Source organism: Homo sapiens, chromosome 18, assembly GCF_000001405.40.
Source record: "Homo sapiens chromosome 18, GRCh38.p14 Primary Assembly".
NCBI lineage: Eukaryota > Metazoa > Chordata > Mammalia > Primates > Hominidae > Homo > Homo sapiens.
Window position 1 is genome coordinate 64079995 of NC_000018.10, and position 26807 is coordinate 64106801.

At 38.7% G+C, this 26807-nt stretch overlaps 2 long non-coding RNA genes across 7 annotated transcripts in view; one reads left to right on the top strand and one right to left on the bottom strand.

Moving 5' to 3' along the window:
• Nucleotides 1–26807, bottom strand: part of LINC00305 (long intergenic non-protein coding RNA 305) — a 69094-nt gene continuing 42287 nt past the window's right edge. For 5 of the 6 annotated variants that reach the window (NR_190191.1, NR_190190.1, NR_190189.1 and 2 more), the window contains 3 exons: nt 18583–18646; nt 17840–18001; nt 1–408 (listed from right to left, as the gene is read on the bottom strand). This is a non-coding gene — a long non-coding RNA (long intergenic non-protein coding RNA 305). The remainder of the gene's footprint in view (nt 409–17839; nt 18002–18582; nt 18647–26807) is intronic. The other variant, NR_027245.2, reaches the window with a different exon arrangement.
• The window catches only part of LINC01924 (long intergenic non-protein coding RNA 1924), a 319511-nt gene continuing 316800 nt past the window's right edge, over nt 24097–26807 (top strand). The window contains exon 1 of the long non-coding RNA NR_033881.1: nt 24097–24241. This is a non-coding gene — a long non-coding RNA (long intergenic non-protein coding RNA 1924). The remainder of the gene's footprint in view (nt 24242–26807) is intronic.

Genomic DNA, 26807 nt, shown 5'->3' on the forward strand with positions numbered 1-26807 from the left:
TTTAGAAGAACAAGAAAGTTAAACAAATGTTTAATAGGAGAATACTAAAACTGCAACATTCTATTGAGAGATATCAAAGAAGACAAATAAATGGAGAGTGAACTCTGCTTCAGAAAGAAAAGATGAAAAATTTTAAAAGTGTTTTGCCACTTCCCTGCATGAGACCTTTCAATGGATTATGCTTATATTCAAAAAGAAAATCCAAAGTCCCTGCCGTTTATCCAAAGGTGCTTCACAGTATGACCTCTGATCTCTCCCTAACTTGTCATCTTCTCTGTTTTCAAAGAAACAGAAAACGTCATCCAGCTTAGTGATCTCCTTTCCTCTTCTCTTTGACAACCATGTGGCTTTCTTCCTTGCTTCCTTCAGGTCTCTGGTTGTAACCTTTTGAAAGGTTCTTCCTGCATGCTGTACAAACAAAAGTAATCCACATTATTGCAGTAGAGAAAGAGTTTAAACTTGATCAAATGATTCCAAATTCATACATACCTAAATTTAGAATTTAAATTTTAGAATACTTTAAAAAACAAATTCTACTTGCAGGCAGTGATTCTAAAAATAATTGAATAAATGTTCATTTATCTATACCAGGATTTTATCATAGAATTAGTCATAAAGCAGAAACTAGAAAATAATTTTAAGTACATTAATTGGAGCTAGGTTTGTAATTTATGGTGTATAAAATTGAAAGATAATCTCTGACAGAAACAATACAATGATAAGTGAAAGATGTTATCAAACAATATGTAGTGCAAAATTATTTAAAATATATAATTGCATATTTACACATATGCAAAACATGTCTGTAAGACTGTATATGAAGATATTAACAATATTTTTTATTGGTAAGTCTAGAATCACCTTCACTTATTTTAAATCTTTTTCTTTTCTGTCATAACCATGAATTATTAATAAAAGAAAAAGAAAACTATTTTAATTTTTTAAAAACAACAGTATCTAGTCCAATTTTTTTATTGTACAGATAAAAGAAATTGGTCTCAAGATACAAATTATCTGTGTGTGTCTGTGTGTTTAAGTATTGAAAATAGGGATAAACACATTTATCCAATATAATCCATCTGGAAAAGAAGAGCAGGCTTGGTTTTAGTGAAAAGTTGTGAGTTGTTTTATTTTTTCCTGAACCAAATAGCTATTTTTTTATAAACTTCAAGCTTAGCTGTCACATTGCCTTTTGGCAAGACACTTGATTTGAAGGTAGATGTACTCTGCAAATAGAGTATATCTATCACAGACTACTAATGTGGCAAAATGAAATCACACAAGTAATCTCTTTAGATAGATTCCAGTGAATCTTCTTGCTCATTTCAATCTAAATCAAATCTATATTAAAATATTAATGCAAGGATTAAACTATATAAGTACCAGGTCAGACTGGAGGAAGATTAAAGGGAATACAAGAATCAATCCTCAGGCATCAAGTTGTAACTTCAGGGTATGAGCTCATAAGATGTAGCTATTTGCATAAACCAAAGTCACAAAGGAAAAAATGTTCTCAAAAGATACCAACATTAGTAATTCCCTGGATTTATGTGCTGCACATAAAAATAAATATTTATTGTTAAACTTAAATGGCTTTTGTTTAACATACTTGTTTGATTTCATTTCTTGATTATTTCATGTATTCATATAAATATTGGGTTAAAAGAATTTGAGTAGTTAAGTAGTTAAAAGAATTTGAGTAGTTAAGTACTTAAGAAGTTCAATTTTGAAAAGCCCAAGCTGTGAAAATATTATGTGAGATGATGTGAACAATTTAAAAAAACATCTGGGGCGACAGCTAGCCCACGTAACGCCCTTGTACACAGTGGAGAAAGCTGCATCCTCCAGGTGGACATGACCACATGGTTTGGCAAGCCTGTTCTCTGGGCAAGTTGGGGAAAAAACCCAAAAACAAACAAATGAAAAAACAGCATGGCTGTGATGAAGGTGGAGGGAAAAGGGGCCTCTTTTAATCTTGGTCCTTTAAACCAAATCACATTTGGTCCTTTGAAACAAATGTGATAAAAGCCCTTTCCTGAAACAAAACCCCTTTTTGCCTGGGGACCAGATTGCCTTTGTAAGACTAACAAATTGGCCACAAGATTAGAAATTATGGTTTAGGAGTCATACAGCCAAAGGTCTCAAGACAAAATTTCTCCAATTGCTCCTAGGGATAACATCACTATTGTAAAACCTAAGATTGGTGCTCGAGACTTTTTTTTCAGATCCTGCCATTCTGAAGCACCAGATGGCACCACCTAGACTGGTAATCTGGCCCAATCAGGAACAGAAGACAACAGAACAGGGACAGAAGACAACAGAGAGAACCCACCAAAAGCCCCAGTGATTTCATCCATGGCCCAACCAATCAGCACTCCCCACTCCTGCCAAATTATCCTTAAAAAACCTCAGTCTCCACATTTTTGGGGGGAGACTGATTTGAGTAACAAAACTCCAGTTTCTCATTTAGCTGGCCCTGCGTGAAATGCATTCTTTCTCTGTTGCAATTCCCGTGTCTAGATAAATAGGCTCTATCTGGGCAGTGGGCAAGGAGAATCCTTTGGGCAGCTACAGTGGCAGAGACAGAAATGGATTGCACAAAGCTTAACCAGGAATTCACATCACTGGCTTGCTGACAGTGTGAATTCTGTATCTATCCTCAGCCTAGTCCTCTTTCCAGTCTTGTTCCCTCTTTCACCTGCACACTAACTATATTATCTTGTTTCTTTAATGCTCTGTTTTTTTAGTTTCTCAACACAGTTTTAGAACTTTCTGTTCTCTTTCTAAATGCTGATTATTTTACTTTATTTTCTGTTTCCATTTCAGTTAACTTCACCTGTTCATTCTATAGACTTCTTGCTTCTCTTTTCTTTCATTTTAATCTTTCTTCTTTTAAAATTCTTGTTTCTAAAATATTTGAAAAAAATTCCATTTTAACTCCAGATAAAACATTTAGAACTTTCTAATTCATGCTTGATTTGATTCTTAAAGTTTAACTTTTAAATATTATTGGGTTTTAAATTGTATTAAAAATTTTACTCCATTAAATTGTCCCTTACCTTGTCCTTAATCTTATATTTAGTCTCTTTAGCCATTCACCTTCCTTTAATCATCCTACTTTAATTTTCTTTTTGTATTTTTTACTCCCCTCCCCTTTAATAAATATTTTAAAAATGACCTTTAGAATGTTTAGCCAAAGAAGTGGTAAAAATGCAGACATTCCTCACCCCAGACAGGAGCTATGGAGGAGCTCTCCCACCACTGTCTTTGCAGCTTCCCCTTGCTTTCCCCTAATGGATTTCCTGGTCCACTTAAGGCTGGCTCTTCAAAAACCTCACCGCGATACCCCATTGTTCCCACTGACTATAATTCTATTAGTGTGCCTGACACTTCTGATTTCCGGGAATAGTGTTTCTTCCTAAGTTCTCATACCGTGTGGTCTTTACCTAGGCAATACGCATTTAAACTCTATAGTCTTCAATACACTGTACGTGCTATTAACTTTGAGACAAACAGCCAAGAGAAAAAGTATGTGACAGCACTAATAATCACACCAGAAACTTTATGTACTAGCCCTGTCTGGCAAGTCTTGCCCTTGGTAAAGAACCAAGTGGTGCTGACGTGCACATGGGAACTCAGAGAAAAGGAGCACGGGCCCCTTTTAATGCCCTTATCTCCAAGTTAACTGTCATTTCTCTTCTAGTAGAGCATGAGTGGATCCTAATTTTTAGCACCTCTTAGAGCTCTTCCTAAATTCCTGGTTCTCATTATAATGCTCAAAGGGAATCTATTTAGAGCAGCTTTTTAAAAGTGACAATTATAAACCTGCTTGATGGTAACCTTGATTTGTTAGGATTTGTATTTAGCAATTTGAATCTGACTCGAATGTCATTACCTAAGAAGAAAAGCCCATTTTCTTAGACATGCACTTTGTTCCCCAGGGAGAGTTCCTGTAGGGAGGATCCCCATGCTGGGCTTCTCTTACCTCTAAAGAAATGGGAATCTGGGGTGGCCAGAGTCCCTGAAGCTCCATGGTTTGCATGCAGGCTGTTAGTGGAAGCACCCACAGAAAACACACTCTCCTCGTCTTGTGTTCTCACACCTTGAAGCTAGTTCCCTTTTTTCTTAATCTGCCTGGCAGTGTCTCATATGCAGTGATCCAAGAAAGGCAATTTCTACATTTAAATAGCTGACTGAATTTTCTTGTCTCTTTTCTCATGTATATGGCATATAGTATCAACTCAGTTTTAAGCTTCCTGAGAACAGGGGTGATGTTTTTTATCCTTTCTAACCCCATAAGAATCCAATTCATTAAGCTGTATGCAGTGAGTACATAAAATGTAGGCCTCATACGTGGGTGACAAAATAGTTTGTACAACAAACCCCCGTGACACAAGTTTACCTAGGTAACAAATGTTACCCTGGTAACAATACCGCAAATGTTACCCTGGTAACAATACCGCACATGTACCGCTGAACTTGAAATAAAAGTTAAAAAAGTTAAAAAACAATGTTGCTGACCTCTTTTCTTTAGCCTTCATATTTTTAGATATTTTACTCCATATTATAAAAGTCAGTGAATAGTATCATTTGAGTATCTTTCATGGTTTATCAATAAATCTTTGCTCTGCAATAAACAACCACAAAATGTCAGTGGCATACTACAGTAAACATGCATTTCTCATGCATCTGCAGGGTTCGTGCATCCAAACTGGGCTTGCCTGGAGGGCTCTGCTCATTTTGGCTGTGCTCACTTAGGCAGCTGAGGCTTAGATGGTCTAGGCTAAACTTGGCTGATGAAACTCAGCCCCATATATCTTTCATCTGATAGAAGCCAGCCTTCTCATGATGCTTGTAGATGTGCCAGAGAATAATCCCCAAGCACTACTCTTCAAAGCTTCATCTCTCCTAGCATCACGACCATCAATGCAGGTATGTGGCTGAGCAGTTGTTTGGAAAAGAGTATGAGAACAGGGAGGTGTGAGGAATCAGCGCCAAATGATGTCATCAACCACACATAGTGTGGAATATAAGTGACTAGTGCTCTACGAAAAAATTGTGGATGTGCATTCGAGGAGAGTTGACTGTGATCACATAATGCCTTCTAATATTGTGCCCACTGACAACAACTTCACTGACTCTTGGTTAAACTGACTCCTTAAGCTTCCCCAATCAAGAAGGCCCCTTTCATCCCTTTCATTACATTGCTTATTCATTAAGCCAAACACATACAGATTGCATTTCCTATTCCTATTCCTATTCCTATTCTTATGTACCTGCTTGAATCCTACTCATTCTTCTCCATTCTTCAAGGCACAGATCAAGACCTATTTTCCATAGGAAGTCTGCTTTGAACTTCATGCTAAAATGTTTCCATGGATTTGTTAATGTCCCACTTCCCTTTGGATCTCCAGCATACTATTTCCATATAAACTGTATGTTGTGTTACTCTAATCTCTATGTATTTGTCACTTTTTTTTTTTTTTGAGACTGAGTCTCGCTCTGTTGCCCAGGCCGGAGTGCAGTGGCACAATCTCGGCTCACGGCAACCTCTGCCTCCCGGGTTCAAGAGATTCTCCTGCCCCAGCCTCCCAAGTAGCTGGGACTACAGGTGCACAACTATGCCCAGCTAATTTTTGAATTTTTAGTAGAGATGGGGTTTCGCTATGTTGGCCAGGCTGGTTTCGAACTCCCAACCTCAAGTGATCCACCCGCCTCTGCCTCCCAAAGTGCTGGGATTACAGGCGTGAGCCACCACGCCCAGTTTTATGTGTCATTTTTATCTGCCCAGGCAGCATGCAGGCTCATAAAAGAAGACATGGGGACAACTCTAGCTTTAAAGACTGGAAATTTGACTTTTGGTGCTGACTCTGCCATTAGCTAATGAGGAAGCTGTTTTAATCTATAAATGGGAATTGCCTTTCTTAAACTGATGGGGTTAAGAAGGCACTCTGCTGTATATCTTACATTTCTTTGCAGTTGTCCATAGCATTTCATTTAGCATACTGTTACACACAGAATATGTTCTTAATATATGCTTTTTGTTGATTGGTAAAATGTGGAATGAGATTTATAAACTGGAATCCTATAATGCACGCAAAGTTAGGATTGACTAAAGTGCAGAAAGTTTGTCTATGGGGAAGACTGAGCTGGCCCAAAAATGTTCTAGTTAGTTTAGTGATATTTTTATTACTAATAATCACTTAAAGTCATAATAAATATAACTATTCCTTTCATAAGCTTGATTGTAATCCATTAAGCTTTGAAGTTCATAAAGATGCTATTGCATTTTTGCCAACAGATTTATGTTAAGTTGGTAAGATAAATGGATATTCTAGATCAAAATATATGTCATATCAAAATCTGACCACAGTGGGGGACACTACAAAGTAACAGGAAAAACAATATGGATAATTTGATAATGTGGATAGGAACACTGTCATATTTTCCAAAAATTGAAAAAACAAATAGAGAATTTCTTGATAGTTGTAGCTTTGGAAATTTCTAAGGTTGCTTGAAAGGGTACCAATAGCTGCTCATTTGACCTTTGATTCACTAAAGCTACCCATCAGGATTGGGAAAGTTTACCTTCTGTTGTCTGTCCTCTATTGAGAGTGTGCATCTTTCTTTCAACTATACACTTTAGCAAGCTAAATATTATCATTGCATGTCAAAGAAGATTGGTGGGGCTTGTTTCAGGATGGAAGAGTCTCATTCCAAACTATTCTTGCTTGGATTTTCCCCTTGCTCTGTTAGGAAGCTACACACCATTTTTGATTGTTTAGGCCCATGTGATGTGTGCAGCAAACGAGAGGTGACTTCTTATCTATAAGCAGAAGCTGCCTGATAAACAGCAGGGATGAATAATTTATAAGGTAGCAGTATGGCAAGTGGCATTTCACACTTCTTTCCATGTAAAATGTCACATGAATTCCAAACAGGCTAAACAGTTTAGTAGGAAACAGAAACCTAATATTGCTAGCAAGAGAAGGGAAAGAGAGGGTCTATAATGTGGCAATTATGATATTACTCAAAAAGAATTCTGATCCAAATATTGTTCTCCATTGATTAAATGTGAAAGCAAATTACAGTTTCTCAAATCAATATTAGGAAATAATTATTATACACATGGAAATAGCATCCGTAAGGCAAATACACTTGGGTTTTATTCCACTCAATTTCAGTCAACTTACAGTAAATGAATCCTGAAAAACTGTATTTTTCATTTTCTAATCATGCAGTTAGCCCTCCATTAAAAAAGAGCTAAAAAATGGGGTTTGATAGATTATTATGCATCATATTGCATAGTTAACATTAGTCCACTTAATCAGAAAATCCAATCAAATTGGTTCTCTGAATTGGAATCATCAAGCCATTAGCAGCTCTTTATTACTAAAGATGGTTAGTAAAATTAAACTGAAACCATAGAAGCTCAAACTTGAAAGTAAGATTGCATTTTTATTCCATTTGATAATTAATATTTAGTAAGTTGATATTTTGGAAAGCTAAAAATTTAGAGTTACCTTATTGAATTCTTGACATTGTTACTTAATCTTGCTTATAGTGATATAACATTTTTGAAATATATTTTAAAAACCTAGATTCCTCAAAGAAATCTGTTAAATACCTTTATATATAAAATATATAGGGAACATTCTGGGGTATAGAAAAATATACGATTGCTTTTGTCTTTAAGGACCTATCTCTGGATCTGGGTGGAGGGAGGTCACTGATGAATACATAAAAGAATTAGAGATAAGGAAATGAGTTATTGTCTGGTGCTAACCATTACTCAATAGAAATTCAGAGAGAAGCAGCCAGGCGTGCTGGCTCACGCCTGTAATCCCAGCACTTTGGGAGGCCGAGGCGGATGGATCACAAGGTCAGGAGATCAAGACCATCCTGGCTAACACAGTAAAACCCCATCTCTCCCAAAACTACAAAAAAAAACAAAACAAACAGACAAAAAAAAACAAATATTAGCCAGGCGTGGTGGCGGGCGCCTGTAGTCCCAGCTACCTGGGAGGCTGAGGTGAGAGAATGGTGTAAACCCGGGAGGCGGAGCTTGCCGGGAGGCGGAGCTTGCCGTGAGCCGAGATCGCACCACTGCACTCCAGCCTGGGCGACAGAGCGAGACTCCGTATCAGGAAAAAAAAAAAAGAAAGTCAGAGAGAAGCAAGATCAGGCAGCTCTGGAACAGTCATGGAAGACTTGCTAAATAACCAGAAATTTGTGATTTTTCTCAACTCTTTCTTTTCCCTCACCAGTTGACCAATAATTTCATATGACCTTGCTGGCCAAATAATTCTTCTGTTTCCATCTCCTTATTTCTTCTCCCACCATCCTGAAATATGGAAGTACAGTTCTAAAGAATGGCCCTGAAACTGATCAGGAATTCTTCATGCATCTCAGTGCTCTTTCTTGGGCAGTCTTCCTAAATATTTCCCACATGTACAAAGAGCACCTCTCAATCTAGCTCTTTAGTGCAATGCACAAAATCCTTGTTGAGGGGTGCCTGCCTTGTCCATGTTCACAGAGTCAGTAAGTGGTAGAGCCAGGACTCATGTCCATGTGGTTTGCTTCCAAAGCATATGTGTTTGTCTAAAATACCATATTGTAATCATACATGGATTTGTCTGCCTCCCATGAGACTGTAAGTTCCTTGAGGACAACTGAACTATGTCTTACTCATTTTCTATCTTCAGTGTCATGCCCTCCTAAGATACTCAGAAACTACATGTTACATAATTTTTGGAAAACTTGCATTTTGAAGATTGCAATGGTGGAAGACCTCATCAGGAGAACAGAGCCTGTGCCAGCTATAATGAGAGGTGATATTTAATAGGGAGGATTAGCTGCAGAAGTCTTGAAAAAGCTAAACAGATAAAAAAAGGGACAGGAAGGTGACCAAAAGTCAGCATCAACAGAAAACGGGACCAACCTTAGGGCTGGGGCACAAGGGGAATATGGGGTTACCAGAGCCAAGGAGACAGAGCTACCTGTGGTGAGCTATGATCACAGAAGGATAGACTGTCAGGAAGAAGCAGGAGAAATGAAGATACAGGTAATTCCAGAGATAGAGACTGATATGGTTTGATTCTGTGTCCCCACTCAAATCTCATCTTGAATCGTAATCTGAATTTTAATCCCCAGAGGTAGAGAGAGGGACCCGGTGGGAGGTGATTGGATCATGGGGGCGGTTTTCCCCATGCTGTTCTCATGATAGTGGGTAAGTCTCATTAGATCTGATGGTTTTACAAAGGGCAGTTTCCCATGCTCACTCCTCTCTGTCTGCTGCCACCTTGTGAAGAAGGTGCTTGCTTCTACTTTGCCTTCTGCCATGATCGTAAGTTTCCTGAGGCCTCCCCAGCCATGCTGAACTGTGAGTCAATTAAGCCTCTTTCCTTTATAAACTATCCAGTCTCAGGTAGTATATAGCAGTGTGAAAATGGACTAATACAGAGACAGTGCAAACACACATGCTGGTTTTTTCTTTCTTCCACTGCTCTCTAGGCTCTCTGTTGGCTAAACCCAAGGGAAAGCCACTTGTCAAAGTAGCCTGAGAAATGTCATTTGCAGAATTAAGGAGTGGGGAAAAGGCAGGAAATGAGTTGTCCTGGATTGTGCCTGTATTAGTCCATTTTCACATTGCTGATAAAGACATACCCAAGACTGGATGATTTACAAAAGAAAGAGAGGTTTAGTGGACTTACAGTTCCATGTGGCTGGGGAGGCCTCACAATTACGGTGGAAGGCAAGGAGGAGCAAGTCGCGTCTTATATGGATGGCAGCAAGGAAAAAGAGAGAGCTTGTGCAGGGAAACTCCACCTTATAAAACCATCAGATCTCATGAGACTTATTCACTATTAAAAGAACAGCATGGGAAAGACCTGCCCTCATGTTTCAATTACCTCCCACCAGGTCCCTCTTACAACCTGTGGTAATTCAAGATGAGATTTGGGTGGGGACACAGCCAAACCATATCAGTGCCTGTTTCCAGACAGGCACACAATAGGCAGAGGGGAAAATACTTAAGGGGCAAATAGTGGGCTCAAAGACATGGATGGAAACATGCATTTGGGAGAATAGAGGCATATGTTTCAATAGGCAGGGAGAGGCCAATTTTGGAGCTATCTTTAAACCAAACCTAGGTGGAAAAGTTTATAGCCAATATCACTAAGTGTTTGGGAACAGAAAGCATTAAGTGAGCTTTTTAGTAGAATATGAAAATATCATGGCTACAATAGACACTAGAGGCAAATTAGAATAGTTGCCAAGCACAGAATAAAATTCTAAGAATCAAATAATAGAAAGTTGTGATATAATCTCTCACAACCTCATTCTTCTAAAGAGGCATTTTCTGAACTTACTTGATAATAAAATTCTCCTGGTGTTCCTGTTAAGCATGCAGACACACACCTACAATATCAGTCCTCCAGAAAAGAGTTTCTGTAATCTGTGCTACTATCAATAGTGCTAATGGTGATTTTTATGATCAGGCAAATTGAGGAAATGTTACCCGAAAGGGTTTATGTGAGAAAAATACCTGCTTTTTTCAATTGATCAGTATGTGCCACTAGCGATCACTTGCAGGACTTGGTGCAGAATGAAAATGTGGGGCCCCTTGCTCAAGTATTCAGAAAGTGATGTGATAATTGTACTGAAATATGAAGCTTCTTCCTTTCCTCTGCAGTCTCTCTTTATGTGTCATGGTATTTTTTATTTGCTTTTCGATGTTATAAGTAAAAAATAAAAATGTAAATTATCTGCCTGAATTGTATCATTCATCTTTATATTGTACAATGCCAGTTTTAAATGCAAATATTAGAGCATTTAGCTTGTGTGTGGAATCACTGACATGACACCATTTATGTTTCATAGCTTACACGTGTGTATGTATTTCTTTCCTACCAGACCAGTGGAAGTGCTGCACAAAACTAACTCAACTATCTTTAATTCACCTCTTGATTAGCATTTACCAACACTTTCTGCCATTGACTTATGAATGAAGCAGGACTGACAAGAAAAGGAGGTATGTGCTGCCCTGTCTTTCCCTTTTCTACTATGTGGTCATTGTCAACTAAGTGGGTGACTAATACAGGGAAATAAATGAGTAGCAAATAACATGCTAGTGTTCCCTGGTTTTTCATGTTTCTTAGAACATCATTGCCTCTTTCTGGATTGAAAGCAAGTTCTGGTTCAAATAGAAGGTGCGACCTCTCTGGGCTGTCTGCCCCCTGCTTACTGATAGACATAATATATGCTTTCCTTTTCTTTCCTTTGGATCTCTCTAAACTCCCAAACATCATGTGTTCACCTGAGCTCTGTGCTCATGGAGCATTGCCCACACAGTATGCAAATGGGGCAGCAAGGGTCTCTCTCTGCTCACATGGATGATGCTCCATTGTTTCGTTGGACTTCATGTGCAAAACGCAAGTTCAAAGATAATCATTATTTAAAATTTCAGGAGGAGTACAGCAGAACTTCAGATCAAGTGTGGGCCCTTCTGTGTGATGGCACAGGTCCCATGTCCATAAAGCTATCCTTGGGCCAGGGAGTTATTATTATCCTCATTTTGCAAATCAGGAAACTGAGGTTTAGAGAGGTCAAGTCATGTTCAAGGCCACTCACCTGGAAAGTGACAGACCTGGAATTTGAATCAGACCATTGGTCTGCAAAGCTCAGGTGCTAACATAAAATCTGCTTCTTCATTTCACCACACTCTCCCTGTTGCTATATTTAGACATATCTGAAAGCAGATGACATAGTTGTGGAAAGTTTGGTTCAGTGATTAATTAGTCACTCATAATCAATATGTGATTAATTTCCAAGTCCTGTTAAGGATGTAAACACACACCTACACAGTTTTCCAGAAAAAAAGCTTGCATAATCTGTGCTATATTGAAAGGGCTTTTTAAATTATTTAAGTAGAGACTATCTGCCCTGATAGTGGTATTTATTTAACTTGATCTCTTATTTCCACACAAAACCACTCCTATGCACTGGGTGCACTGAGGTATGAGAATAAAAATGGATTAGTTCATAAGGCACAATTTCTGCCCTTAGGAAACTTAAATATGTTTGAAAAACCAACATTTCCCTTAGGTTAATTTCACCTATGTCACCTCCTTTGGCTTTTCTCACAGGTTTTGTTTCTCCTCATTTCTCCTTGGTGCTTACTGGGTGCCTTTTCTAGTTTCATGTTCTTTTCAACAGCAACTGCATGGCTGCTTTCATTACTTTTTCTCCCGCATATTGTTATGGTTTGTAAAACATTTGCTGACTAGGCCAGGCATGGCGGCTCACGCCTGTAATCCCAGCACTCTGGGAGGCTGAGGTGCACAGATCACAAGGTCAGAAGATCGAGACCATCCTGGCCAACATGGTGAAACCCCGTCTCTACTAAAAATACAAAAAATTAGCCTGGTGTGGTGGCAGGTGCCTGTAGTCCCAGCTACTCAGGAGGCTGAGGCCGGAGAATCGCTTGAACCCGGGAGGCAGAGGTTGCACTGAGCCGAGATCACACCACTGCACTCTAGTCTGAGTGACAGAATGAGACTCTGTCTCAAACAAACAAACAAAAAACATTTGCTGACTAATCTGATTCTTCAAATTAAGGATGATGGGATGTTTTCCTTTCCCCTGGTCTTTGACGCCTCCAACAAAGGTGAGGTGTGAATGATACTGGGGTGATCTTCCCCAAGGGCCCAGTGAATTTTCTCCTCTCACGTGAACTCTCTGTGGCTTGTGTACAGTGATTATGCCGAGAGCAAGACTTGTTCTCCCTATTTAAAGAGGGAAAGTCATTTAAAATATTTAAGAAATGAGAAGCTGCTCAGAATACATTTCATTAAGGATGTACTTGGGGTGATTTTGAGTTGGCTGTGGGGAAGCAGTAAACAGTCACAGCTCTTAACCACTCCTTCTGAACAAAATCTTCTTTAGGACAGAGAACATATCTCAAAGCACATTTAGTGTATTATCACACATCCAGTAAGCAATTCATTATAATGTTTTAAATGGCTGTGGAGGACAGCCCGAGGCACCAATGCTTTCGGAAAATATATTTTGCATGTCCACTGAATGGTGTCATAGCGAGTCTATAAAAATATTAGCCTTAAAGGAATCATTCCACCCATACTTTACTCTTAGCAATTATGCCTGAAACCACTCCAGCGATGAGGACTTTTTAAAAATGTATAAGTATCTAGAGATAATCAACCAGGCTACTTTATTACAAAAAGTTCACAACTTCCCCACATGAATATACCTGACAGCCAGTTAGTTCACTTAGCTGCTCTGGTTAGCAGTTGTAGGCTAATCCTAACCTATTTTTATTTTTATTTTATTTATTTTTTTGAGATGGAGTCTCGCTCTGTCACCAGGCTGGAGTACAGTGGTGCGATCTTGGCTCACTGCAAGCTCTACCTCCTGGGTTCAAGCAATTCTCCTGCCTCAGCCTCCCCAGTAGCTGGCATTACAGGTGTGTACCACCAAGCCCGGCTAATTTTTGTGTTTTTATAGAGATGGTGTTTCACCATGTTGGCCAGGTTGGTCTCGAATTCCTGACCTCAAATGATCCACCTACCTTGGCCTCCCAAAGTGCTGGGATCACAGGCATGAGCCACTGTACCCAGCCAATCCTACCCTGTCAATATGTTCTTGTAGTCACAGGGGTTGTAGCCATGGGGAAAAGTGACTCATTTAATATATGTGTCATCAACTTCTGCTATAGGCAAGAGAGTTTTAAATGATGAGAGCTGGGAAGGGGCTTAAAGATAGAGCATATGTTGACCTTGAGCAGCATAGCCACCCATCCCTGTTTATAAGATTTCTGGTACAGGAGATTTTCAGTTTCAAAACATGAGAGGTTCTAGGAAAACCAGGAGGCATTGGTCACCCCACCTTTACTCAAAGAACTTACAGTTTAATTGGAAAGAAGTGCACACAAAATATGAGAAATAGAAAAGTACCATCAGTTGCGAAAAAAAGGGAAATAGTTTTCCGCTGAAGGGATTCTGGATCGGGGAATGCAAATCCCTTGCTATACCTGGGGTCTGTGGGAGAAGAGTTGAATGAATGGCATTTTGGTAAGATGAAACTTGATGGAGTCCAGGCATTTCATTTGTCTCCTCCTAGATCTCCTGTGAAATGGCCAAAATGATAGCAAACTAAAAGAACGTTATTACTAAAAACTAGGGAAAAGAGTCAATCATCTGAGAGAAAGTGCAAATAATTTCTGCTGGAAGAGAGCAATTGGAGGACAATTGAAGGAAAACACTGAAGACTGTTTCACAAGGTCCCCTTCTGAAAAGATGATACAAACATGGAAATTAAGGAAAGCAAGTCCTGGCAGCACCCCATGGATATTCCCTTATTTGGAGTGGTGAAGGGAGGGGTGAGGGTCGACTGTGGGCAGAGAGCACAACACCCTCAGAAGCACTTCTGCTGCTGGAGAGTAAGGATCAGCCCAGGGAAGATCCTCCAGGATGTCTGGAGCTTCCAGCATGGCTGAACCAGGCAGAGAGCTGGTGGTGAGCCAGGCATCCCCCTAAGCAGTGAGCCTTCCCTTGGTAAAGCAGAATTTCTTCCTGGGCCAAGCTCACACCTGTAATCCCAGCACTTTGGGAGGCTGAGGGGGGCAGATCACCTGAAGTCAGGAGTTTAAGACCACCCTGGGCAACATGCCAAAACCCCATCTCTACTAAAAATACAAAAATAAACCAGGTGTGTTGGCAGGTGCCTGTAATCCCAGCTACTTGGGAGGCTGAGGCAGGAGAATCGCTTGAATCCAGGAGGTGGAGCTTGCAGTGAGCTGCACTGTACTCCAGCCTAAGGGACAGAGCAAGACTTCATCTCAAAAAATAAATAAATAAATAAATAAATAAATAATAAAATAAAATAAAAGAATTTCTTTCTGGGCAAGCAAGACTCCCAAGAAGCCTCAATCTGTGTACCTGTCATAGAGACCAGGACAAACAAATTTGGATACAGAAAACTGACCTCTGAGCCATACAGAGAAGAGACTGAACAGAATTAGCCTTGACTGATCATGGTTATGATTCTTCCCCATTTCTTTTAGGCTGCTGGCTTTACTAAAAGGGCAAAGCAATTTTAAATTAAAACAGCAAGGATGACAAAAAATACCCCTTTTGAGCTTAAAATTTGAGAGGCGATTTCTAACAGCAAGCAGATGGATAGTGAGGAGACACAGGGACAATCCTCCTACTCTATTTACAGGCAAGCATGAGGCTAGGAGAGACCTCTCCTCTCTCAAGGATGTGTAAATAGAAAACAGCCAACAGGAGGCCTGTGAAAAGATTTTGCAGCTCAAAATAAGGAGAGGGACATAGTACTCAACATCCAGGAAAGGAGCTAGTTTTGAAGAGATTTATTGCAGAAGATAAATTATATTTGGGCAATACCTGCTTTATGATCTCACTAAAATATAAGACAAGAGGAGATTTTTTTTTTGATAGAAGAAGTGAAAGATGACATGGAATCCTATGAGACTAAGGTGAAACAGGAGCTATCTGAAAACTAAAAACACACCAAAAGGAATCTAAAAGAAGTGAAATAATTTAAGAAAATTAAAAATGCAATTTTGGAATTTACAACTGCATTTCATCATTAAAGAACAGAACCAACACTGCAGAATTTTTACTTACTGGCTAGAAAACTCACCTGAGGATCCTAACAGAACACAAAGAAAGTGGGTGGAGAAAAGAAACAGATCAGAGAGAAATAGCAGATAGAATACATTTGGAGTTTCGATATATACATAATCAATGTTTCTGAATAAAAGACTAAAACAAATGGAACTATTTGAAGATATGAAATAAGGAATTTTATGAGCTGAAGAAATACACAAGCTTCATATAAAAGAGATCAATGAGTATCTGGAAAAATTTATGAAACATGGGAAATGTTATGAAAAGAAACAAAAATTTCAATTTTCCCCATGAACATTTGGAATTTCAACAATAAAATGGGAAAAATGCTAGAAGAATTCTCACAGAGTTCTGTAATGGTCCTGATAAAAAAAAATATTAAAAAATGAATAAAACTTTCCTATATGCTACTTAAAAGAGTTTATTAAGGATAGAGTTCATAGATAATATAAGATGACTCAAATAGACTTAAGAAGCAAGTGCCTATATACATAAGAATCTTTATGCATAATAACATAAAACTTGATAAAGTGATATGAAGAAATGAAGATTTAGTCTTTACTCTTAGATACAAAGACTCAGGATTGTATGCATATTAGTTTTTCCCAAATTTAATGCAATTCCAACAAAAATCTTAAAAATCTTAGAAGTTTTTAAAAACTTGGCAAAATGGTTCTAAAATGTAAAATTATCAATGTCCGAAACAGCAAAAATATTTTGAAAAACAGGGATAATAAAAAGTGACTTAACTAGACTGTTAAAATGCTTAACATAGCTGACTAGATAGAGAAATCAATAAATGAAAATAGTAAAACCAGAAATAGGTACATATACAGAAGTTTATAGTGTATAATCCTGTTGGTATTAAAATCCATTGAATAAATATGAATTATTTATTAAATGTCGAGCGTTAACTATCAGGAAAATGTAATGCTATTTGTATCTTTACAGTATACAACAAAGTTAATTCTAGATGAATTACACCACCAACTATAAACAATCATACCAAAAATTAATGAATATAATATGGGAATAAATATTTCCATTCAGGAATGTGGATTTGACTATATGACATATTAAAATCTTCTTTGTATTACAAAACGTAGTAAGTTAAAGAACACAATAATAAAATATTTAATGAACATATGAGGAACTACTGAAATTCCCAAGTAAATCTTGAATGCTTTCTTAGAAAAATGTTTAATGAACACAAAGTTAGTTTACAGAGAAGTACAATAATAATAATAATGGCCAAAATAACTAGAGGAATAATATTTTTATATAACTATAATAAAACTTTAATTTTTAAATAGCATTTTAAAAATTAATAAATTTAGTAAATATTTAAAATGCTAAGAATTCTGGAGGACATGGTGAGAACTCATGTACAGTCTACAGAATTGTAAGTTTGCATAATGCTTCTGGAAGGGACTTTATAAAGTTATGTTAGTGTAATGATATTTCCATCATTATAACTGGATATAACTATCCATATGTGATTATTTAAGAAAGTTGTAATATGTGTTTATCGTAGAATATTATGCAGCCATGAAAGATGTATTTTTAAAGATGCTAATAGCTGAATTAATTGCTGTGAATTAAATCTATTTGTATATTTTCAAGATTTTCTGTATTTGATTTATATTATATACAATTATGTTATTTTGTAAAAACCAAAGAGTCTGCCCCACCACTGGTGATTCAGTAACACAATATTTGCCACAAAAAGCAGCTTATAATTACTACTCAAGACAATGGATTCTTATTGTCTTAGAAATACAACTTACTGTAACTTTGGAGGGAAACAATAATGTAAAACTTGTAATTGCTATGTTTCCAGTCCAAGGTTTGAGCACAAGGTGTCTTTTATATAATTTCAGATTTGCTTGTTCTTATTATTAAGACTTATGAAAGTTTTTAAAGTAGAATATATATAAAATAAAGAAAAAATATAAAGAACATTCTTAAAAAGAGCCTATAAAGAACTACTCCGCGTGGTCAGAAGAGGGAGCTTTTAGATTGCAAAAAAAGTAAAATTTTAAGCACTCTATTATCAGAAGTAATATTATTTCAAGTCCTCATATTGAATACTAATAAAAAAGTAGCCATGGAAACATTCCTTTATAATAACTTAAAAAACTTTTTGTTTCATGAAATATTGAACTTACCTTTATTCTTCATTGAGAGCATGTAGAATCTCACTCTAACCACTGTCTTCTGACGCTTTGCACATTTGACCTTTGTAAGTGTGGCTGATAAACCAGAAGGCTGCTGACCAGTTTCCATCTCCTGCTTTCCCTTTTCATCTTTGCAGGTCGCAGAGATGGCTACTGAGATAAGGGACAGGAGAGTGGAGAGCAAGGTGGCAACAACTAACCAACAACAAAATTAAAGATTTATTACGTATTATTGAATAAAGGTACAGAGGCAAAGTTCTCTGACCAACATTGTCCATTAAAGATAATACTAGAAATATAAAAGTTGAAACTATCCATCTAATCTGAAGCCTTTTTCTATGTCAATATTCAGATTTTAAAAACTAGTATTTCAGTTCCTAGTGCCTTCGTAAGCGATTCATAAACCTGACCGTGTTTATAGGTACGGCAGAAAATGAAGACCCAGGAGTGAGTTCTGTTATTATAAAAATCATGGCAGTTAGAAGTGTAACCTAGAGTGCAGAATGCAACAATAAGGAGGATAATTCTTTTTTAATTGGCATGGATCACACACCAGTTCCACATTCAATTAGTGGCTTTACATCTTGAAACAGAAGTAGAAAATTTGAAGTGAGTTCATGTACTCATAAGTAACATTCTAATTTGGGAAACAAATTATGAGAAACTCTATAAATAGGGTTAATTTTTTTCTTAGGTTTGTAACTTTAAAGAAAGAATTTGAAATGGTTACTCACCATGTATAATGCACAGTCTATGAAGGTTGATCATATCCAGGGGTGGAACCAGATAATTTCCATCCTGCAAGTGAAAAAAGAAAATAAATTGTTGTTTTCAGTGAATGCTGCAAAACACAATGAAAGTGAGTAACCCTGGGAGTGTAAAAGTCCCCCATTCTTCTGTGTGAATCAGTGCTCATCTAAAGCCTGGACCTGAACAGCCTTAGACGTGTCCTCTATTTGCACCCAGCCTGGTTTAGATGACCCCAAGCCTCTTTCTGAAGTTATGTGTGCGGTTGGCTTAAATTTGACAAAAATATTGGGTAGGGTCAAGGCACTAAGCCAAGTGACAAGGAGCATTGAAGTTTCATACAATGTAAGGAAGGAGAAAGACCTGAGGGAGAAGGAACCTCAGTCATCCCATGAATAGAAGGAAAGTGGGGTGTTTGAGCAGAGAGGATATAGAGGGATATTATTCAAATCAGTAAGAGGAGAAGATATCCTGTCTCTATTCCTGTTGACCTTCTCCTTCTTATCACCAATCATTCATTTACTTTTACTGTCTGAAGAGGTGCAAATATTGTAATTTAAAAAGCAGATATTCCTTATAATAATATATTAAATGCTATATACCTGGAAACATTGTTTTAATGTTTTGTCTGTGTATTCTATGGTCCCTAAATATGGTCACATTTCATACATGTGTACTCTCTAAATTTGTGATTTTAAACATTTATTTAAAAGCCCTATTTATTAATCACTGATCTTGTGAGGTGGTGATGGGTGAAAAGATGAATGAGGCACAATCGTAGAAACTCATAGCCTCATAGGGGAATCAGAGAGGTCAGCAGATGTTTAAAACCTGCTGAGAACTAAGTACAGGTTTCAGTGGTTAAGATGCAAGGTGCTGCTGAGGCAGGGTTGGACCCAGAGATGGAAGAGGCACCGACAGTGATATAGTTGGTCTTAAGCTTTGAAATGATCTCACTCCTGAAAATAAAAATCTTTTTTGCTAGCTGGTCACCTGAATTCATTTAGTTTACCTTGTCTTTTTCCTGTAGTAGGATTTCACAGAGGATTTAACGTGTAATGGTAAGAACTCGGAACTGAGTGCAAACAGTTGGTTTTGACCATCAGGGAGAATAAAATCCAGCCCCTTGGTTTTATTAGGTACTGGGATCCTCGTTTCTCATTGCAGATGGTGGATTTTGTAATGTTTACATCCTTCAAGTTGTGAGTTGCCCTTTCCTGAATACTTGATATGTTCTACATGGCAAAGTCTGCCAGTCAAACGGCACAAAAAATGGTGTGTTCTCAGGTTCCTTGTTAACATACATACAGCTTTTCGGAACACAAATAAGTTCAAAGTTGTGCAAAGCTGTAAGGTGTTCCGTGTTGCCCTGGGCATTAATATAAAGTGAAAGCTAGTTACAGTTTGCAACTGAATTAGTAGCAGTCTCTATTTATAATGCAACCCTACTTCGACATAGCACATATATTTTTAAAGAAAGACTTAATATCCAATTATTTTTACAAGAAAGCTGGCTGGCTAACTCCAAGAAGTTTAAGTTTTCCATTAAATATTGTTTTTTTTTTCTTCAGGGGAGATGGTTGTTATGACAGGATTCTTTTGCCTTATAAAAAGCCTCGTGTAACAGATAAAGTAATTAGCTGTAGACCAAAGTAGTTTGCTCTGTGTGATTCTTTAACACCCCCTCAAAGCTACTCAAGCATCATATTTCATTTAATTAAATACACAAAAAGTCAATTGGAGCTCTCCGCTACATGAAACTTCTTGAAAGTATGAAGAAAGAACGTCACAGGAGGGCTTGTGTGTTCACCACAACCTCAGGACTGTCCCGGTGCTGGGCCTTTCTTTTCCTCAAGGGGCTTCCCAGTACAACTCGAAGCAGTCAGGGCCAGGATTGTGAAATCAGTCCATCTTCTTCACTGGTTATTTGTGGAAGCCCAATTTACCCTACTTTTACCCACATCCCTAGGCAAGTGAGTGCAAATAACTGAAATGACTCATAAAGTCTTTGAATGAATTGATTTTCTCTTTTTACTTGAAATCAAAAATAAATGTTCTCTTTTTTTCTCTGGCAAATTGCCTCCTATGCAGTTATAGCTGTGTATTTCTCCTGGGATTTACAGCATTTGAAAATCAGCACTTGAGAGACTCGTGCACCTGTGTGTCCATATATGGCTTCCTGTTTTGTCACATGAGGCAGTTGCCTGCTATGTTCAGATTCAGGGCTTTTTGAGAGGGAGAGCCATGAATGAATGTCCCATGGAAGGCTGCTGGTGAAGAGTGTCATGACTCTTCTGTTTGCAATAGAGTGTGTTTGTATCCTCATTTATTTTATGGAGAAAACAGGGTGCTTGCTTTCCAGAGACCTTTCTAGGATTCCTCTGTGAAAACCTCCTGTGAAAATTCCAAATGGTTTGAAAGACCCTTGGATCCTCAGGAGCACAAAGCTGGACATCTTTGCAAATGATCTGAGCAACCCCGTCTCTACCATTGCTAAGTGCTGTTTATCTCCATTAGAATTTGAGTCTCATGGTGGGTTTGTATTTGATAACCCCTTTTTATGATCACCTCAGTTCAGGACAGGGGATTGAGAAGCTGTATTTTCAGAATGAAATGAACCTGAGCAATAATCATTAACTCGGCATCGAGGAACAAGAATGTGACACCCACCTTAGGGTAAAGATAACAGTGCTCATATGGGAACAATGCCCTCTGTATTGGTTTCCTTGAGTTGATGTCACAGAGTTCCAGAAGCTGGGTGGCTTAAATCAGCAGAAAATTGAGTTGTTGAGAGGCGCATGCTCTGAGGGCTTTTGGGAAAAAATGTTGCTAGCTTCTGGTGGTTGCTGGCAATTTTTAGCTTTCTTTGGTTTGTAGCCACATCACTCCAATCTCTGCCCCCATTGTCACATGGTATTTTCTCTGTGTCTCTGTCTTCACATTGTCTTCCCTCTATGTATGTGTGTGTGTCCAAGTTTCCTTCTTATAAGACACCAGTCATTGGATTATGTCCCACCCTAATCCACGATGACTTCATTTTAACAGATTACATTTAATAAGACCTTTTTAAAATCAGGTCACATTCTGAGGCTGTGGGTGGAAAGCTTCTTCTGGAAGAAGTTTTTGGGGAACACTGTTTAACTCACTACATTTTTCTATGGCATCTTCATTTCCTTGCAGCAGCCTCACAGAAAAGCAAAACCAAATTTACAGGATCAGTTACTCAAATGGAAATCCATCTTCAGTATGATGTGACTGCATAGCCAGAGTTTTCCACATGGTAGGTTGTAGCCTACAAATGAATATGGCTGCTTGAATGTGGCTGACTCTTTTGGGCTACTACTTAAAATTTTTCCAGTCATATTTTTATAGTGCAAAATAGATTCCCCAGACATTTCCTGAAGTGCTCAGTGTAACTCCACACTAGAACATGTGCCTTCCCAAGTCCTGACAACCAAGTCAATTTCACAAACCGACAACATCATCCTGTGTTCCGATGCCCCCAGTGACCGCTGTTCATATCAGTAATATTTGAAATTTATCCTCACTTGTCCCATAAACATACACAAGCACAAAGCCCTCAGCAGCAACTGGACAAAATGCTTTCATGAGAGAAGCCTAAAGGTCTGTCAGTTATTCTCCCTTTGCTATGCTCATTCAGCATTGCTTCCCATGATCTAGTGAGCTAAGACATATAAACTGATACTCAAGGCCTAAAAAACAATAATAGAACTTAGCATTTTAATCTCCTACCTTTCCCTAGAGTTTCATAGCAACTTTTTGGATTCATTATAAGTAGACATTTAGAATGTCAGCTTCCAGCAATACGTACTCTGTGGTTACAAGTCCCCTGTTTTATATTGGGAACATAAGTATAAAGGGTAAAATATAATGGCATTTTAAATAAAGAACTGAAGAGACATACCCAAATGCCAGAAATGACCAAAATGCTAAAAATCAGGATAGGTGGGTATATTAGGCCATTCTTTCATTGCCATAAAGAAATACCTGAGACTGGGTAACTTATAAAGAAAGAGATTTAACTGGCTCATGGTTCTGCAGGCTATATAGGAAGTATAGTAGCTTCTGCTTCTAGGGAGACCTCAGGAAACTTAGAATCATGGCGGAGGGCAAAGGGGAAGCAGGCTTGTCTTACATGGTCAGAGCAGGAGAAAGAGAGAGAGTGGGGAGATACCACACATATTTTAACTACCAGATCTCACAAGAACTCACAATACAGTATCAAGGAAGGACGTTGCTAAGCCATTTATGAAAACTCTGACCCCATGATCCAGTCACCTCCCATTAGGCCCCACCTCCAACATTGGAGATTGCATCTGAACGTGAGATTTGGTTGGGGACACAGATCCACCCCATATCAGTGAGCCAGTGATCAACTTATGTTTGGCAGGCAGGACGAGCATGCTCTGTAGTGGATTAGTTCTCATGATTCCTAACACCTGAAGCAGCTCTTAATTCCTTCTTATTTGATTGTTTTTTCTTATTGACATACCTTCTTGGTCACATTCTATTTCTAGCTTCCTGAATCAGAAGATATAAAACACAAACAGAAACTTAAAATTGTAGTATATACATTTGTCCACGTGTGTCTGCCATTTTCCCTGCTCCATGTTGCTACTAATCTCCTCTGTCCTCATCAATTCCTGTCTTTCTCAAATAGTAGTCTCTCAGTCTTCATTCGTGTGTAGATTTCTTGATTCCACTGTTGAACTGAAAGTTCAAATGAGTGTGGGTAGACAATTATTTTTTCCTAAGCAGCCTGAGGATAGCATTTCTTATTCACAGTCTCTCTTGTTACTAATGAAAAGCCTCTTAATTATCTTCCTTTTGCGGCACTTCTCGTCCTGGTTGTTTTCTCGTTGTCTTCAGCACTCTCCAGTTTCACTAAACTGGGTCTAAAATGTGTTTGATTTTGATTTCATATTCTGTCCAAGGGCTTTGTTTCTTTCATACATTTCTTAAAAATGCATGTCTTTATCTTAGTCATTTTCTTGTAGAATATTATACTTACCCTACTTTCTCTCTTCTCAGCTCAGGAACTCCTGCCAAATGTGTTTGAATTTTTAATTCTAACCTCCATGGCTGATAACCAGCATTGTATGTTTTAAGACAAATATACTTACCCTACACCAAGGGGAGATTCCTAATTTGTTCTTTTTGAGTTATTGACCATGCTGTGTTTATCTATAACTACTCTTTTGGTGTTGCTTAGATACTAGAGTCAGTGGTGATGTTAATTTTAGCCTCAAAAAATGTAGAATGATCTGTGGACATGGACAGGGTCACAGTTACAGGCACAGAAAGCACTGTGAAGTTTTCAAATAGGCAAATATTTACATATGTATATGGTTATTTAAAAATGTATTTCTTATGTCAATCCATGACTTGCGTATGTCACAATGGAATCTGGTGTAGGTTTTATTTCTTGACAGAAAGAAAGATTCTATCCTCATAGTGTTGAGTCTTTTGCAAGGACCTATGGATATAGGTGGTACCTACATGGGAACACATTGTCTAATACCACCCAGAATGGGTAGCAAAGTTCATAGTGAAGTTTCCACTGTGAGCGGCAGGTGGCGGGCTCTTCTGAGAAAGAAGCTTCTAGATGCATATTGTGGGGAGCAGGTATGGGATAACCACTTGGAGTCTCCCTCATCCTCCTTGGATAATAAGTGGGTTTCTGAAGTCTGCATCTTCTCCGCCTTCTATTTCCTCTAGAAATTTGTATAAAGAAATGTAGACATATTGTATATTACAGAGGAAGGCAGACTTCAGCTTAATTTTGAGGCAGAGAAAAGGGAGTGTTCATTTATGTGTCTGAAATGTAAGCATCCATAGAAAGAAGATTCCTCCTCCTGAGAACCCAACCTGCACCTTAATCAATTACCATTCTTGCCTTCACGTGCTGGCATGTCAGCAGCTTTGGTTCAGATTTTGACAATGACAGGGGATGTCATAGAAGAAGTGTGATTGGGTTCCCTGACTGGGATTTATTGTACAGCAGATTTTGTTTTCTTTTGCTGGGAGAGAAGTAGCAAGGACTCTACCTACCTTGAAGGGGCAAATCCTCCTGGGGAAATTAGGAAGTGTTATGCTTGGGAGCCTCCTTCAGGAGTGGCAGTTCTCTGCTGCTTCTTCACTTCCCCAGGACAAACAAAATTTTCTTTGAGGCTGCCCAGGGACCGGTCTGGACACTCACCTTATGTCCGTTTCTCCTGAAATCTGCCAGGAAATCTGGCCCAGGCTGCATCCTGGGACCCGGAGGCCTCTCTACCCTTCCTCCTCCAGGCCCTGTGGAATTGTTCTATTCTCGGTGGTGGGGGCTGGAGGGTGTAACACCCCTCACTCTCCCCCTGCTTCTCCAGCATGCTGTTCTTGGTCTCCTTCTTTACTACTTCAGCACCCACCCCCCAGCTCCCCTCTCTTTACCTCCTCCACAAACCGTTTGGGTGCTCTAAGACCTCAGAGCAAAAGAGTCAGAAAAAAAAGGACAGTTTTTTATTTTTCTGCTTCAACCTGCCATGTAGCTTCCCTGAGGTATCACAGTGCATATAAAAAATGTTTTCTAGGCCGGGTGTGGTGTCTCACGGCTGTAATCCCAGCACTTAGGGAGGCTGAGGTGGGCGGATCACCTGAGGTCAGGAGTTTGAGACCAGCCTGGCTAACATGGTGAAACCTCATCTCTACCAAAAATACAAAAATTAGCCGGACTTGGTGACACACACCTGTAGTCCCAGCTACTAGGGAGGCTGAGGTGGGAGGATCTCTTGAACCTGGGAGACAGAGGTTACAGTGAACTGATTGTACCACTGCACTCCAGCCTGGGTGACAGAGTGAGATTCCGTCTCAAAACAAACAAACAAACAAAAAAAAGTTATCTAGTGAAATTGATCATTAAAAATTTAAAAACCCCTCAAATTGTATAAACATTATATATTATTTCTGTGGGTGGTGTGTATGTGTGTACGTGCACGTGTGTGTACGTGTGTGTAGAGTACATGTGTTCAAAGAAATGATGCCTTACATTTACACTATGGTAATGGTATGGGATAGGGTGGCAATGGTGCACTTATCCCCCAACATTTGCATTAAAATGAAATTTTGATCCATGCGGTTGCTCAATTCATTTTCTTAAAGAGGCCACACCTGATCCAATAATATCAATACTACGATAAATATCTCTGAAATGACACAGGGAGAACCTGGTTAGTAGGTGAGAGAAGCATCACAATTTCCAGTAACTCACAGTTACTTTTACATCAACCAAATTAAGGAGAAATAGCAGTTATGAGTGAAAATGGAGAGATATAATTAGAAAGGCTTTTATCCCTGTGCTTTCTCATGTCCTGCAATTGGCCATACCTGGGTGCTACCCTTTGCAGGAATGCATGTAACATTGTTTCCAATGACATTCTGGCTTAAGGGAAGGAAGGGAATACTAGCAATTTGTCAACAGAGTTAGCCTTTGAGATTTCTGCTTCTACAAACTGAAGCCCTGATTGGCACCTGAACTTTAGAAGGTTTATTTAATGCTACAGAACCTCAGCATTTTCAGGTTACCCTTCAATTTGGAAGTGTTGTGTATATTTTCTCCAGTGATCCATTGCTCACCTCTGCTTAGCCTCTGAATCCCCTTGCTCTTGAGGTTAGCATCTCCCAGCATGTTTCTGTAAACCTGGGCATGTCTGCTATGCCTGGAAGCCTGGACATAGGTTGGCTGAGATTGTGCCTACGCTCTGGCTTTCCTGGCAATGACGTCTTTACTCCACACCTGCTCCTGGCTATTTCACTCATTTCCACCTTTACAAACTTAGATCTATTTTGTCACCACCTAGAAGCTTCTGGTTCCAATAACAAATGTTCGAAGATGCCCTCTCCCTCTGCCCATTCCTCTTTCTGTCATTTATACCCCCTTCCTCCATTGTCATCTGGAGTTTCTGGGTTCTATCATGACACTTGCAAAATGCCTCTGCTGCCTCAATATATAAATAACACTAATTTGTCATTTGAATCAATGCTGCCTTGTCAGTGTTGTGATAATTAACCCATGGGCTGGCATCCCACGTGTGTGTCTCTGGAATGAGAACACACGGACCCAAGTATGATCATGATGCTTCCAGTGAGTCAAGGAGCAGAAAAATGACGCAGGAACAACTGGAATTAGATCAGCAAGCAGAATAAGAAAAGAAAA